General features: G+C 37.8%; 1 protein-coding gene and 1 long non-coding RNA gene across 2 annotated transcripts in view; one reads left to right on the forward strand and one right to left on the reverse strand.

The window, feature by feature from the left end:
• Positions 1-17,411, forward strand: part of CPQ (carboxypeptidase Q) — a 498,260-nt gene that overhangs the window by 418,683 nt on the left and 62,166 nt on the right. Inside the window, exon 7 of the mRNA NM_016134.4 lies at positions 2,085-2,286. Coding sequence (NP_057218.1) covers positions 2,085-2,286 — 202 coding nt within the window. The remainder of the gene's footprint in view (positions 1-2,084; positions 2,287-17,411) is intronic.
• Positions 1-17,411, reverse strand: part of LOC101927066 (uncharacterized) — a 494,634-nt gene that overhangs the window by 112,061 nt on the left and 365,162 nt on the right. The window lies entirely within an intron of this gene.

The following is a 17,411-nucleotide window of genomic DNA, read 5'->3' on the forward strand; positions in this document are numbered from 1 at the left end:
CTTAGGATTGCCTTGGCTATTTGGGCTATTTTGGGGTTCCATATGAATTTAAAATAGTTTTTCTAGTTCTGTGAAGAATGTCATTGGTAGTTTAATAGGAAGAGCATTGAATCTGTAAATTGCTTTGGGCAGTATGACCATTTTAATGATATTGATTCTTCCTATCATGTAGCTCCAATTTTAACCTACACAGTACATGACTAGAAGCACTTTGCCTGATTTTCTTGTTGGAAGAATGGGATCTGCCTGCAATATGGAAACCCTCACAAACAAGATGACTCAATTCTGTTTTCATTTGCAAGATATATTGTGAATGTTCTTTTCTCCTTTTTGCAGGAGAGGGAAAGGGTTTAGGGTTGTGGGTGTGGCAGGGCATAGAAGGGAAGAGGCTTAGGACTGCCAAATTACATGTCAACCTGCTGACTTAGCATCAGTGTACTAGTTAAATGAGCCCTGAATGTAAGACATTAATGCAAATATTTTGCATATTATTAACTCTAATGATGCTACCATAATGCAGTATCCTCAGCTGAAAGCTGAGGTGGCATTTTTTATTATAAATGCCCTGGGTCTTTCACTGAAAATCACCATGAAGACAAGTCCCTTAGAAGTGAGAGCAGAAATATGAACAGAGTTCTGCATCGTTAACCTTCTCATCATTAACAATAACAAAAAATATTGGTGTCCCAGGGCCCTGCATTCAGTAAATGCCGGCAACATCTTTCTTTAGAAACTATCACTGCTCTTGCCCTTATAACTACAATATACTTCCAAAGCAAAAGGTTAGGCAATCATTGTAAAATGGAATCTGTTTTAGAAAAAAATACTATGCAATCCCCAAATTGTTATGTAGGTGGAAAATCATTCTAAATGCAGAACAAGTATTGCTTACCCTCCAGTGCCATGCTAGTGATGGTAGTGTGGAGTCTTGGAAAGCAGAGGGTTTCAGAGCCAGCGCTACCATTTGCCAGCTGTATGACATTGAGCAAATCGCTTGACCTCCCTGATTGTCAGATCCTTTCCTATAAAACAGCAACATTAATAATACTGCTTTGTCTATTTTATGAGTTGCCAAAGAACACCAAAGGAGATTGCAAATGTGAAAGCTCTCTGGACGCAATGTACAAATGTTATTATTGATTTTTTACTAGGTGAGTAATGAGGAATGAGTAGCAGTGTTTGTCCAAGGATAGCTTGGGAATAAGTCAACCAAGGTGGCAGTTGGTAGGTCTTGAAGATGTGGTTGGCTCCTGGGAAACAGATGAGCTGGCCAGTTTGAAGGATCTTAAAGTTGCAAGTTTTCGGGCTGGGTAGCAATTTAACTGTGCAACCTGTCAAGAGCCTATTATATTCTAAATTTGTGCCGTGACAATATTGGCTACATGAAATAACTGTGTGCTTTCTTACCAGACTTTATTTGGAAAGAGTTTATGAACTAGTGGCCTGGCAGCGTTGCCTGGAATTAACAGTGCTGTGGTTTTACACCAGGGAGAGAAGTGTTTCATGCCTTGTTCTATTACCTCCCTCCCTGGAGATTCAACAGATGGAACAACAACAAAATCAGAACCCCAAGACAAACCTGTCAGCTTGATGCCTTTAAGCTTCGGCAGAACTCACAATTAAGATAAGATAGAATATCCATTTAGAGGAAAGAGGTGCAAAGAAATAAGTTCACAGAGCATACCTTCTTTTGTCTGAGCATGGCTAATACTATCTGGAGATCCCTGCCACATAGGAGGAATTGTATACTGGAACACAGTGAACACTTAAGAAAATTAGTTGAAAGAATATTATTGCTAGTAGAAATAACTGAACATCTTTAATATGGGGCTTTATATTTCCCTTCATTATATTTTTTTAATCCTTTCAAGCCAACTCTTGAGTTTGGCAAATCCTAGGCTGAGTAATTGTGCATCTCAGAATGGTTAGATAATATGCAGAGCAGACCTTAAGTCAGGCACAGCAACATGTGTTTTGGCACAGCCGTAAGGAGGTAAAGTATTTGGTAATTGTTGTTTGATAGTTCCCAAGGAGAAAGCACTGAAGCAACAGATAAGAACCAAACAATTTTCTCTTGTGTTTAGGTAAATATTTCCAACTACAGTCTGGTGATGGAGTCTGACGCAGGAACCTTCTTACCCACTGGGCTGCAATTCACTGGCAGTGAAAAGGCCAGGGCCATCATGGAGGAGGTTATGAGCCTGCTGCAGCCCCTCAATATCACTCAGGTCCTGAGCCATGGAGAAGGGACAGACATCAACTTTTGGATCCAAGCTGGAGTGCCTGGTAAGACCAAAAGATGAAGTTGTGTTCCTTATATATTGCCAACAATTTAAAATAAAATTTCTGTTTTAATAGAGCACAATGAATACTAGTAGGCCAGGTTGTCCACGGAAACCTTAAGCTTTTGTTCAAGGTATAATCTGATGATTTCTAAAACTGGGATAATAGTCCTCACCTTGTATTTGTTTACCCATCTGTATCCCTCCACTCTTTCTAAATTATAAGCTCCTCACTCCCAGAGATTCTGATTTAGTCATTCTGGAATTGGGCCTAAAAATCCATTGTTTTGTTTTGTTTTTTAAGGAGGTATCTTTGGTGATTATAGCACAAATGATCTCATAACCAAAATTTGAGAAATAGAGTAGAAGGCAAATATTACTACTAATATCCTTCTAGTTCTAGTCCTGTGCTAGAAAAACTTCCTTGATCCAAATAATTCCCTATTAAAACACTGTGGTATCTGAAATTTTACCATTAGAGATAGATTCCTTGAGGGTGGGGTACTTTCTTTTAATCATGTTTTACCTTAATGCAAAGACTCCTGTGCAAGAGGTTGAGCATAAACTAATTTACCCTGGGCAGTGATTTATCATGTGAATATCCTGAAGAGAAGTCCTAAGTCCCTGGGGTTCAGGGATGAAATTATGAAATGGGAGCGGACATGAGGAGGTTACTTACAGAAATACAAGCTGGAACAGCTGGAACAGTCTTTTTTTTTTTTTTTTTTTTTTTTTTTTTAGACAGGGTCTCACTCTGTCACCTGGGCTGGAGTGCAGTGACATGATCACAGCTCACTGTAACCTCCACCTCCTGGCCTTAAGCAATCTTCCTGTCTCAGCCTCCCGAGTAGCTGGGATTATGAGTGTGCACCACCATGCCTGGCTAACTTTTGTATTTTTTACAGAGACAGAGTTTCGCCATGTTGCCCAGGCTGGTCTCCAACTCCTGGGCTCAAGTGATCTGCCTGCCTTGGCTTCCCAAAATGCTGGGATTATAGGCATGAGCGACCATGCCTGGCCTCTAGAACAGTCTTAAAGAAGACAAATGTATACTACTTCACAAAGTTACCTAAGCCTGGCCATTGAAAAAGTTTACTGATATTGTTTGTGACCCGAGGTTGCTTCCTCAACACCATTATATCCATAATCCAAAAAAGTTAAAGGATCCATCTGCAAATTGTTCTGTATTTGTACTATACACATAGGATGCCTAACATTTGAACAGTTTTAACATTGCTGTATTCAGAAATATTTCTGTGGCTACAAACATTTCAGAGGTACTAAAACAGTGTCTCTGGACCTACTCCACTCCAGATTTTTTTTTCCAGGCTGCAAAGTAGATTTTACCAATAGTAACATACTACATAGATTTAAGATTTTTAAAAAGCTTATTCTTGCAATACTGCAGATTTTTAAGGCATATTTTAAGTTTTAAGGTTTATAATAATCTTTCATAACTAAAAATAAAAGGAGCTTTTCTGTACTCTAATAGAAAGACCAAAATTATTTTCCTTTGTTCTTTGTTCTGTGTATGTTAACATATTTTGAAATCTCTTAAAGCAACATTTCCATTTACAATGCTGTACTTCTCTGGACAGATCCAATACTATCTACATATGTGTCATTGATAAACATGATCTAAGTGTAGGGGAGAGAGTCTGCCCTTTAAATTATATAGAATCATTTGTATGAAATTCTAGATTTTTTCTGAGCCTGAAATATTTCAACAAGAACTTCTTAAAAATTGAGAAACCCTGAATAAGCTGCTGTGTGGTAGCTGTGAGGAAAAGACTGGTAGACTGTGGGTGAATGAGAGTGCAGACGGGGGGTGGTTCAAGGTGAGGTAAGGAGCTGAAACCTAAGACAGAATTGGGAACAAAAACTTGTCCCTCCCCATCCCAGGTATTTCTTTTTTGTTGTGTTTGATCATTGAGACTTGGCTCTAGCTTTTTTCCTTCACATGTACGTGTTGTATAAGAATGGTTCTGTTTGGAGTGATCAGGTTAATTTGATTCTTTTCACCTAAAATAAGAAAGCATTTTCTGTCTTTGCCATGGTTTAAGATGAGGTCAGATTTGATTTCTACCTAATAGAATGGAGTGGGGAGACTGAGCCCATTATGGTTGTATAAGAATTAATAAGAGGCCGGGTGCAGTGGCTCATGCCTGTAATCCCAGCATTTTGGGAGGCCGAGGTGGGTAAATCACTTGAAGTCAGGGGTTCGAGACCAGCCTGACCAACATGGTGAAACCCCAGCTCTACTAAAAAAATACAAAGTTAGCCGGATGTGGTGGTGCAAGCCTGTAATCCCAGCTAACTGGGAGGCTGAGGCAGGAGAATTGCTTGAACCCAGGAGGCGGCAGTTGCAGTGAGCTGAGATCATGCCACTGCACTCCAGCCTGAGCTACAAGAGTGAAACTCCATCTGAAAACAAACAAACAAACAAAAAAGAATTAATAAGAGTTAAAATGTGTTGAACTCCTAATGTGTAGGAAGTACCTAGGCTTTTTGCAGACACTGTTTTATCCATACAACCATCCTATGAAGGAGGTACAATTATCATGATCCCTATTTTGCAGATGAAGAAACAGACTCATAAGGGTTAAATGACTTGCCCAAGACTATACTGCCCTTAGGGCAGGAGTCACCCTGAGAACAGGCCATTTTGGCTTCAAGGCTGGTGGCCCTTTTCTCACAATATGCAACAACACTGAGGGGTCTGGAATGCTGAGAAGCCTCCAAATCTCCGGCAGTGTCTAAAATGTTTATCTTACTCAGCTCTTGCTTATGCAAAGGATTTCAGTCCATTCCTGCTCCACAGTGATTTACCCCTGGGAGAAAGGAGTTTGTTATTGTAAATAACTACTTATATCTTCTCACATTCTTTGTTCTACTCCCTTCTTTAACTCTGAAAGATCAGAAAGGTTTACATAAAGTCAGTAGCTCATTTAGATGACTCTAAATGTTTCCTTGAATGCTGTTTTATTTCCTTTAGAGCATTAGAAGACAGAACCAAATTACTGCTGTCTTCCTTTTATTACTTTTGAGTTATCCTTTGATATTTCAAATTTGGGCTATTCCTGGAAGAAACAATGGTACTGGTTATAACTCTTGTCACCTATTGAAAATTTCAGGTACCTCACTGTGTGCAGTGGCTTACCCCTGTAATCCCAGCACTTTGGGAGGCTGCAAGGTGGGAGAATTGCTTGAGGCCAGGAGTTTAAGATCAGCCTGGGCAACACAGCAAGACCCCCATCTGTCTCTAAAAAAAAAAAAAAAAGAAAAGGATGAAGAACCATATTTGGGTTCTTCATCTTTTTTCTAAAAGATGAAAATGAATTTGTCTGAAAAAGAAAAAAGTAAAAATATATCAGTTGTGTACCCTATATTTGTGAAGGCCTGACAAATTATAGCTTAAAGCTAAGGGTAGGATTCTAAATACTAATTAAGTTATCATTTAAATAACTGCTCACCTAACTTCTAAAAAATTAATGCTAAATAATATTTCTAAACTCCATCCTTTTTTCTTTCTTTTTTTCTTTCACGGATTCAATAAACATTTATTGAGTCCCTACCATGTTCTAGGCCTATTAAATTTCTATAATTTGAGGTGACTGTATGATGACTAGACCCCAATATTCCATGTATACTATTTACCAAAATACTGATAGAACTGTATATCTATCACACAGATAGAATTAAAATTCAACATTGCTTTCATTAATTATAGAAGACAAAAGGATCAATTTATAATACGGCCATCTTTGGGAGAGAAAAGATGATATCCTTTACCCATCTAGATGATATCTATAATGGACAGAATAACTGTCAACATTAATATAAGGCTTTGGGGAAAAAAGATTTTCTTTAAAAGTATCTTGGATGTACTTTCCGCATAAACTCTTTGTTCTAGATCTTCAGATTCCAGCCTTCTCCCATGTCCACCTCCTTCCATATTCCTATTCTTTCTCTCTAAATCCTCAGTGCTCTTTAAGGCTCATTCTGTATTCACTGGTGTTCATGAATCCTTCCTGAGTCCGTAGTGCTCTATTGCTTTTCCAAATTTCTAACGCGCTTCAAGTCTTTGTCCCACAACCTGGCATGTGAATTACAAACTATGATATTGTTCTTGGAACACTAGGGGCTTATGTGCATCCTGCTGCCTATATGCAGTGATCAGTTCTTTGAGGTTAAGGTCAATAATTTCTCATTCTTTGCCTGTTCCAGAGCTGTCGGTTTAATTTTAGGAGACATTTAAATTCTTATAAATCTGACTTAGCAGAAACAAAAACATTGAAATAATTATTGTCTAGACAAGCTTTTAGATACTTCAGTTTAAGAATATGAAGAAAATAAAGGATACTAAGAGCCAAAAATGTATAAAAAATATTGGGAGAATGATATAAATTGGGAAGCCTAGAGCAATAAGGATTATTTCTCTTAAAGGAGCAAAGACTGAGAGAAGATGTATCTTTCAATACTTTAGTGATTCTCACACATAAAATGGTGAATTGCTCTTCCCTGACAATTTGAAAGACAATACATGACTTAAAGTGACCTAAGAGGGATTTAAGCTAGTCTCTAGTCACTCCAGATAATAGAGAGGCTTTAAATCTCAAGTTTTTGCCTGATTCTCCTATATGAGCTCCAGGTTAGGATGAAAGGAGTCTATTTCATTCTGAGTATGTCACCAATGAGGTATAATCCATGGTTCTTAGATGTCCCTAAGTGCATCCTTCTTGAATATATTTCTTCTTTAGAAACTCTTTCACAAAATATACATTAATGAAAGAAAATTAAATACCCTCTTACTGTGACCTGAGAGAATGAGCCCACTCTTACTCTATATCTGCCAAGAAGAGTTTACTCCTCTGCTTCAGAATCTGAAATTCAACTTTTTGTTGTTGTTGTTTTTAGTGTGGTGGCTTGTGGTAGACGGTGTATTGCAAGGAGTTAGAGGACTTGAGTGTATATTCTGACTTCAAAACTTCTAACTATGTAGGCAAACAGTGTAATTTTTCTAAGCCTCATTTATTTGTTATTAAGCATCCTTATTAATCAACTATTGTATGGTACTGGAGAATCAGTAGTAAGAAAAGACAGATAAGATCCATGCTCTCACAGACAACACAGACTAGTAATGAGACCTGGTTATTTCATCTGCAAAATAAGTCTGGTAACCTATGAGTCATTATTTCTACCAGGCCTCCACTTGTGTTCTCCTCCTCCTCTGTCCCCTATCTCATTAGCAGGCACTATAATTCAGAAACCTCAAAAGCACCCAGGACATAAAGCCAAATGTTTACAAGTCCTGTTTACTCCAAATCCCTGCTATTTCTTAAACCCATTCCCTCCTCTCCACCCCACAGACCTTGTCTCACCAAAACTCACTGATTCCTACAGCAGCCTCCTAGTAATATCCCAACCTGTGTTTTTAATCTTCTTTCACCTAATTGGCTCACTGCTTCTAGAATGAACTTTCTAAAGTGAAAATCAGTATATCAACCTGGATGCTTTTGGCTGCAAAATGAAACAGAAGACCCAGTCAGAATGGCAGTAAGGGGATGATGTTTTTAAATTCGCTTAAAAAGAACTTTGCAGCAGGTGTTACAGAGTGCATAATTTGGCCATTTGACCACTTCAGGGACGTTGGTTCTTTACATCTTTCCATGTTGCCATTCTCAGCATGTAGACTTTTGTCAGGCCTGTCTCTTTGTGGTCCCAGGATGGCTGCAGTTGCTCTAAGCAGCACATTCTCATACATTGTGCAGTAGTGGAAGAGAGAATGTCTGTAACAGATATCCCTTTTGAAGAGTGAGGAAATGTTTTCTAGAAGCCCTAAAACAAGTTTCTTAAACTCCATATTATTGGCCAAAATTGTGACATATGTCTGTGGCTAAATCATGCAGAGGCGATAGAGTGGAATTACCTAGATTGGCTTATACTGATCAAATTTTACTTCCTAGGCATAGGGTGGGGCCCAGTATTCACTGAAAAACAACTTCTTGAGAAGCTGTTTGAGAAAAATTGGGATTCTTTAGGGAAAAGATGATGATATCTATTGGGTAAATAATTAAAAGTAGCTGCAATATCTGATCATCCCTGCTCCTTGCTTCCAATCCTCCAGCATCTCCCTGCTGTCTCCAGAGTATGTATGAATAAAGTGTTCACCAAGTATGGCATTCAAGGCCCCAAATCTCAGAAATCACCGCTAAATAACTTACTCATGTAACCAAACACCACCTGTTCCTCAATAACGTATGGAAACAAACAAATGAAAACGGTAATTTAAAAAAAAGAAATCGGGGCATCCAAATCGGTAAAGAGGAAGTCAAACTGTCGCTGTTTGCTGATGATATGACCGTATACCTAGAAAACCCTAAAGACTCCTCCACTCCTTTCTATCCATCTCTCAGTCATACAAGTCTAATTGAAGTTCCAGGCACACCCTGCTGCTCTCATACTTCCTTGCCACTGGACCTGCCCTATTCTGTCTTTTTCACCAGTTAATTTCTACTCACTCATGATGCAGCTCCTTGTTCTCCTCCTTCTCAAACCTTCTGCAATCTGCTACAGTCTGAGTAAATGTCCCCTGGGTACACTCGTACAATGCCCTGTGTTCACCTCTCCTCTTAGTACTTATCTTGTTCTCCTAATTGTGATCAATTGTGAATTCCTCAGAATTCTCAGTGCCTACAAGTGCCTGGCCCTCGACAAAATGTCCATGACTCAAATGCTGAATAAGCAGGATCCATGTCTGTAGGAAGAGTAAGATAATGCCAATGAGGTTTATTAACTATAATGCAAGACACAACTGTAAGTTATGATTAATTTAGTAACGACATCACTCATTGAGCTGTCCTCTTTCATTGCATATTGTGTTGTTTTAAAAATCATATTTTAGTTTATGTCATCTTTTCTATAATAGTTCAGACTCCACGTTGAAGTACCAAATACACAGATTACTCAGAATTTCACGTATTTTCCATCTTGCTTATTTCTGCCCAATACCTCATATGGCATTAAGAAGAACTAAATTAAAACTTTCCATTTCTACATTTGCAAAGGCCTTTCCTCTAAAATGTTCTAAGAAAGGAGACCTCAGGACACAAGTAGAAATGGTACTGTAAAGTAAATTGAAGGTTCAGCCTCTGGACCCAGGACTCCTGCGTTTTCCAATCACCAGATGGAATAGCGCAGCCCAGCGGCTCTATATCCCCTGTTGTCCCTAATTTAATGGTGCCTCCCTTATGGTGAAAACACTGTACAGTGATGTTTGAAGGGATTGATGCTCCATGGTAAGCAGACTTCGCCCTACTGGGAACATGAAAAGGAACCTCTCTGATTTGTGGCTGTAATCCTCAAGCCCTCGTTTAAATAGCCAGGGCAGTTTCATTTAATCAACAAGCATGTGTTGAGTGCCTGCTGTAAACCAAACGCTGAGACACTGAGGAGAGAGGATGAAAAAGACTCAACAGGTCTCTGATCTTGTGGAGTTTACATTGTGATGGAGGGGTGGGACACTGGGAAGATACAGACTATAACTAAGAAATAGATTAAGAATAGAGAAAAACAGTAGACATTGATAAAGGCTATACAGAGAATTATAGTAGGTGGTTACCTCTTACCTCTTTAATTCAGATGAGTCAAAGCTCTTGCTATTCACTGACTGCTATTTGCTTGACAGCAGTGTATGACATCCTCATCAATATTGCATTCCTGGAAATTGTTCATCAGAACATCTTATAAGCTTCTTCTGCTCTTCCCTCTTGCAGTAGATCTGCTTCAGCTCAAACAGAAACCACTGGGTATCTTGCCCAAAGCAGACCTGGCTCATGCCTTCTAGGATAATTACCAAGTAGGAGAAGAGCAAATTGTTATACCATTGGGCAGTTAGTCATGCACTGCTTTATGAAGTCTCTTCTATTGTTGCCTTGAACTGTTTTTTAAAGCACACACTTTAACTTTAAAGTTAATATACTTTGTACTTTATCTCCTTAACTGGATTGAGGATGAAGAGACTATTTTCTTCTTGTTCATATACCCACGACACCCATTATTACTTGGCATATAAAATGTATCCAGTAAATGTTTACTGATTAGATGTATTGATTTAAAGATGAAAATAAGCTAAGGAACAATAAAAGGAAGTTTTTGGTATAGTACCAAGATAAATAACACATGCAGAATAACTGCAGGGGCACATAGGTCAGAAGACAAGAAAGACGTGGAAGAGAGGAGCTTGAGCTGGACATTGAAAGATATGTAGTATAAGAATGGACAGGCCAGGCACGGTGGCCCACGCCTGTAATCCCAGGACTTTGGGAGGCTAAGGCAGGCAGATCACCTGAGGTCAGGAGTTCAAGACCAGCCTGACCAACATGGTGAAACCCCCTCTCTACTAAAAATACAAAATTAGCCAGATGTAGTAGCGGGTGCCTGTAATCCTAGCTACCCGGGAGGCTGAGGCAGGAGAATCGCTTGAATCCGGGAGGCAGAGGTTGCAGTGAGCCAAGATTGTGCCACTGCACTACAGCCTGGGTGACAAGAGTGAGACTCTGTCTCAAAAAAAAGAATGGACAGAAGAGGGTAGAGAAGGACATTCCTGATGAGATAATAATATGAAAAAGGCAGGTGTCCCTGTGGGGCCGGAAAGGAAAGTGACACCACTTTCCTAATTCATCTTGCAGGGCAGTGGGCAATGAGAATAGGTGAGTACCTCTAGGCCAGATGAAAAAGAGTCATAAATGTCAGGTGAAAACTCTCATAGCTGATGCGAAGATACCGGAACGCTTTACAAGGAGAGGGATTAATCAAAGCAGTGTTTTAGAATGTAAATCCCTAAAGCTTGTGCATGCCTAGAGCATCCAGGTCACACTCAAGTAGAAGGCTCAAAGTAAGAACACTTAAAGGGAACGAGGAGCTTGAGGAAGTAGCAAAGGGTTGAAAACAATTGCTTTAGAAAATCAGATAATGACATTATGATGTTGCTCCATTGTATGTACTATAATGACCCATAAAACACTATTACTTAAGTCTCTGTACCATTTTCCGTGCCTTCTAATGACATAGCCTAGAAAAGTTTTCCTTTTCTATCTTCCCCTTTTAGGGTCTCAAGATTAGCTCTTCTGAGTTCCCCTTCTTATCCATAGGACTTTCCATCCATTTCACTTTACAAGTTCTCTAATTTATTTCTTATGTTACACTTTAATCAATGGGTAGCTACAGTGTATATAAATTATGGAGGATACAAAAATGAGATATGGACCCTTCTCTCCTGGAGCTCACAATTGAAAACTGATTTTGGTTAGCTTAATAATCGTGAAGATAAGAATAAAGACTTCATCACAGAAAACTAAATAAAGCTACATTAAAATTTCTAAGAAAAATATCTAAAATTACTTGAAAAGCCAGTGGAGTATAAAGAAGAAGGATTTCAAAATATGTTTTCTCCTTGTCAGCCATGTGAGATTTTTCTCTCTCTGCTTTAAATAATTAGGAAATGTAGAATTTATTTTGACTTGTTTTAATATATGAAGTGATTTTAAAGTGTGATTTTTTAAAAATGCTATTACCAAAACTTTCAAATGTATACAAAACTAAAATAATATCATGAACCCCCATGCACCCACCACTCAGCTTAAGGAGTTTTTCACTCATGGTCAGTCCTATTTCAGCCACACAGCAGCTACTCTCCTACACCCAGTTTATTTTGAAGCAGATCTCCAAAATCACATCATTTCATTTATAAATATTTTAATTTGTATTTCTAAAAGGTAAGGACTTGGTTTTATTTGTTTTTGTTTTTGTTGTTTGTTTGTTTGTTTTTTGTTTTTTGAGATGGAATCTTGCTCTGTTGCTCAGGCTGGAGTGCAGTAGCACGATCTCAGCTCACTGCAACCTCCGCCTCCCGGGTTCAAGTGATCCTCCTGCCTCAGCCTCCTGAGTACGTGGGATTACAGGCACACACCACCATGCCAGGCTAATTTTTGTATTTTTAGTAGAGATGGGGTTTTACCATGTTGGTCAGGCTGGTCTCGAACACCTGACGTCGTGATCCTCCTGCCTCAGCCTCCCAAAGTGCTGGGATTACAGTCATGAGCCACTGAGCCCTGCCAAGGACTCATTTTTATTTATATAACTACAATACTATTATTCTACCTAAAATATTTTACAGTGATTTCTTAATATCATATCCAATATATGGCCAGTTTTCAAATATTCCCAATTGTCTTCATACTTCTTTAAAAATAGTTTTCTAATGTAAACCAGGATTCCAATAAGGTTCAAACAATGCAGTTGGCTGATATATCCCAAGTTTCTTGTAATCTGTAGGTTCTACTTCCATCTTTTTTCTTCTTACCACTTATGTGTTACAGATGCCAAGTATTTGTCCTAACTCCATTTCCACGGCATCATTTGTCATGTTCCCCTATCCCTTGTATTTCCTGTGGATTGAGTTAAATCTAGAGGCTTGCCCTAAGTTTGATTTTTTTTAGCGGGGGAGAGGGAGTGGGCTAAAATGCTTTCTAGATGTTGCTGCTTGTTTTCATAGGCATAATGTCTAATTATCTCCCTTTTTATGACATTAGCAGCCTAGATACATTTGAAGTTGACCCTTGAACAACAGGGAGTTTAGGGGTGCTGAGCCCTGCACACAAAAATCTGCATATAACTTTTGACTCCCCAAAAACTTAACTACTAATGAGCTACTGTTGATCAGAAGTCTTTATGATAACATAGTCAATTAACACATATTTTGTAAATGTATTATATACTGTATTCTTATAATAAAGTAAGCTAGAGAAGAGAAAACTGTTAAGAAAAGCATAAGGAAGAGATACATTTATAGTACCGTACTCTATTTATCAATACCATCTGTTTACAAGATGAATTTTCTGAAATGGCAACCACGGTGGCACACCTCAATCTGTGGTACATATCAAGCAATTCAACTTTTTCTTGTAAAGTCACGACTTTTCCCTGCTTCTTGGGAGCACTTCCAACATCACTAGTTGCACATTGTATGAGTCCTATGGTGTTAGTCAAGGTCTACAGTATTACACTAAATGTGATGAAAAGTATGTGAGAGCCATCACTTCTTCCTGTGATATGCAATTTACTGGAGAGATGAACTGCTCACATAGAGGTGATTAGCATCCGCAGCATTTTACCAGATACTGGCAACACTTGAGCTCACCACAATAGCAACAGGAGGTAGCTATGAAATTACTACAGTAGTACAGTATGTACTACAGATAATGTTCTGCAGTTATGATTTAATACTACATCTTTACATTTGTTTACATTTCTCTCATCTGCAAAGGGAGCCATGTACAATCTGTGTTTATGTGCATATGTTTTGACAAATTTTAACTTTTTATAATAGATCTGTGTATACTTTGTGGTAGTAAATGCTAAAATAAACTAGCATCCACATATATTTATGCATTCATAACATACCTTTTTCTTAATTATTTTGATATTTCCAGACTATGTGGTTCATTGTAGAATTTTTTTAAATTGTCACAAATCTCCAAAAAATTTGTGGAAAAAAATATTTGAAAAAGTGGATCCACACACTTCAAACTCATGTTGTTCAAAGGCCAACTAGATTTAATTTCAGTATATTCTGAATGGTACAGTCTAATCATGTAATTCCTTCTTTATTAATTTAAATAAATCTATGCAAACAGAACTTTCCCCTTATCAGCTATTCAGTTACTCTGAGATACTTTTGTATAAGAAGGTAGGATAAATGCCTCATTCTTTCTCTTTATTTACCTATTTTTAAACCATCAGTTTGTTTACTAGTATCACCCAAAGATGATTTATTTATTTTTTGTGTCATTATTAACTGATGGATTTAAAAATATTTGATGTGTTTCATTCCATTGTAGTAGCTATTTTATTGATGCTCAAATTGTCCCATCTTTGGCCAATTGAAACATCTTTAAACTGGTTCTGAGTCCTTTTGACATGACCCTCATAGTTGTTGATATCATCCTGGCTTTCTGATAGGACAAATTGTTTCAGGCTATCTTGTACATGTCCTGCCCTAGATCTGAAATCAGCTATCTCTTCAAAGAATCCAATTTATTTTCCTAGGTCATAGTATTTAGAGGCCACAGTCTGAACAGTAAGTGTGTGTGTTGCTACTGGATTGTTCATTGTTTCTAGGTCTTTTCAGCAGACAGGACTAGGAAACACTTTTTTTCTCCAACATGAAATTATATTACTAATTATATGATATTTCCAATTTAAGTTGAGGACTATAAAATTGCACTTTACCTCACTGATGTTACATCTGCATTTTCTTTTTCCCCTGCCTACAATCCTGGCTCTCAGTGGAACAACATAATCACTCATTTGCTTTATCCCACAATACACACCCAGTAGTCTCAGAAAAACAGTATCAACACGATCACCAACAGTATAACTATTGAAAAGAGTTTTCTGTAGTTCTTTTTGTTTTTAGTATGTATATTCTACTAGAGATGTACAAATTTCTGTTAACCTATGATGCATATTACTCTAAATATGATATCATTTCCATTTCTCTCTCTCTCTCTCTCTCTCTCTCTCTCTCTCTCTCTCTCTCCCTCTCTCCTTTTTTAGAGATGGGATCTCACCCAGGCTGGAGTGCAAAAGTACATTCATAGCTCACTGCAACCTCAAACTCCTGTGCTCAAGCAATCTTCCCACCTCAGCCTCCCGAGTAGCTAGGACTACAGGCTGGCGCCATTGTGCCCAGCTAATTTTTTTAAAATTTTTATTTTTAGAGATGAGGTCTCACTATGTTGCTTAGGCTGGTCTTGAATTCCTGGGCTCAAGCAGTCCTCCCACCTCGGCTGCCCAAAGTGCTGAGATTATAGGCAGGAGCCACTGCACCTGGCCATTTTTATTATTTTTGTTTTAAAACCTCCACTATTGATTTCTAAAATGTTTAAATGCTTATTTTCTAATTTTTCTTTATAATGTGGGGAAGAGAATATGAGTAGGAATCATTATATGATTTATGAATTACCTTGGAGTGTCATAGTTAGATCCTCAGGATACTATTGCCTGTTCTTTCTTCTTAGACCTGACTCAATTTCACAATTTCATTCACTCATTCATTTAAGAAACCCAAGTAAATGCTATGAAGCAATTGGAAAAGAGGCTTAAGGAGAGAATTTAACATATATTTGTTGTTTACTATGTGTCAAAATTATGATAGATGCTTTACTTATCTCATAATTTCATAAGAACATTTTGAAGTATAAATTATTATTATGTGACCAATTTTCAAATGAGGCAGTTGGGAATCAGGGAGTTTCCTTTGCCCAAAGTCATAAAGATATTAAGTAGAGAAGCTAGAATTAACATATACAGTCTGTTTTACTCCCGTGTCACATATAAGATGCAGTCCCTGTCCTTAAGGAGTTAATGGAGGGTTGAGACCCAAGAAGAACAGAGTACAATAGGAGTTCAGGCCAAAAGAAAGGTATTAAACTGCCGGGGCCTCACAAAGAGGTGGCATTTCACCTGATTATCAGGAAATAATAAAATGTGCTGGATGTAGAGGGAATGCATCCCATGTCAAAAATTGGAGATGAGCAACATTCTGTAGGTAAGAAAATGTGAGGGGTATTTAAAATGATAACCAGTCGGGTTGGACCAAAGTTTAGTTAATATAGGGAAATAGAAAACTAAAAGCGTTGCCTGGAATCTCAGTTGGGATCTGAAGGTCATTCTGAGGATTCAGGACAGCTAGAAACTTTTGAAGGTTTGAGCAGGAGTGAAATATGCTAGGGCACAATCCTAGCCACTGGGCAGGCTCCGGCTAACCCAGATCCTTCTCCTTGGAAGGACTCCAGACAAAACCCACCCTCATAGATCCACAAGTCTTGCTGATTGACTGCATGTCTTCTAGCAATTTCCTAGAAAAGTTGCATTTTCTTCGATGTTTTGCTACTGGAAGTTTTGCCAAATTAAGTCTTCCAGTTGAAGAGAGATGGAGTAGCCCCACATAGCATTGCATTGCGATTGGCAGTGGTTTTCTGAAGTCTCAGATGTGAGCAAATAAAGTCTGACTCTAATTAGACATACTTAATCTGCTCGTTGAAACTTGGAGTCAAATAAGTCTTAGAGTGACATTTCAGTCTTAGAGTAACATTTCACTGATTTCTTATAAGAGCTTTGCTAAAAAATATGCTTATCAATTTAATCAATTATAGGATTCTAGAAATCACAGGAAAAACATCACAATTAAAGAGATTTTGGTAAAACTGAGTTAAAATTGGGTAGGACTTTTTACTATAAAAATAAGTTATATCTAATGTTATACAATAAACTGCCTAGTTTGGATAATTTCATTAGCTTAAACTCTTCCCTTTGCTCAGTATTAAAGTTCAGAAGTGGCCACCTAACCTAACATTCTTACATATCCCCCTCATGGGGACTTTTAACACAGTGAATTAAGTGTCCCCTTTATTCCATTTTTTTATAAGAATGTATGAGATTGCATAATTCATGATAACTAAACTTACTTTTAAAATATGACATTTGCTGTCTTAATTCTTTCCAGTTCATAATCTATAAATCAAATATGGTCGAGCTCTGTGAAATCTATTAGTTATGCATCTTTTGAGACCTGAGTGATCCGTTGCCTATCATAGGACGAGATATGAAGTGTGTCCTCAGTATTCTTAGTACCCACCCTTCTTTCCTTCCTTCCTTCCTTCTTTCCTTCCTTCCTTCCTTCTATACATGTATTTTTTGTAATAGCTTGAATAGTTTACTGTCATGTAAGAGAATAGTATCTTATGTAGAAACATAGCGTGGACTTCACCAATACTCATTTTTGGAAGTTTAAACCTAAGAGAAAAATGTTTGCTGGATACATCTTTATAAAATCTACATTTTTACAGAAATAGTTCATTGATTATTATAAATATCATGTTTGAAAAACTTTTAAAAATGAAGTTACACACAGATATTGTTTAATACCTTTAGCACTATACTGCGAAGTGCACTGCAGAAATAAAGCCATTGTTTATTTAGATGGGTCAGTGATTCCAGACTCACTACTCCTCACACAAGATTTTATCTGAGATACCCTGATCATTGTAGTCATTTGGCTTGTGA

Source organism: Homo sapiens, chromosome 8 (genome assembly GCF_000001405.40).
Source record: "Homo sapiens chromosome 8, GRCh38.p14 Primary Assembly".
Lineage (NCBI taxonomy): Eukaryota > Metazoa > Chordata > Mammalia > Primates > Hominidae > Homo > Homo sapiens.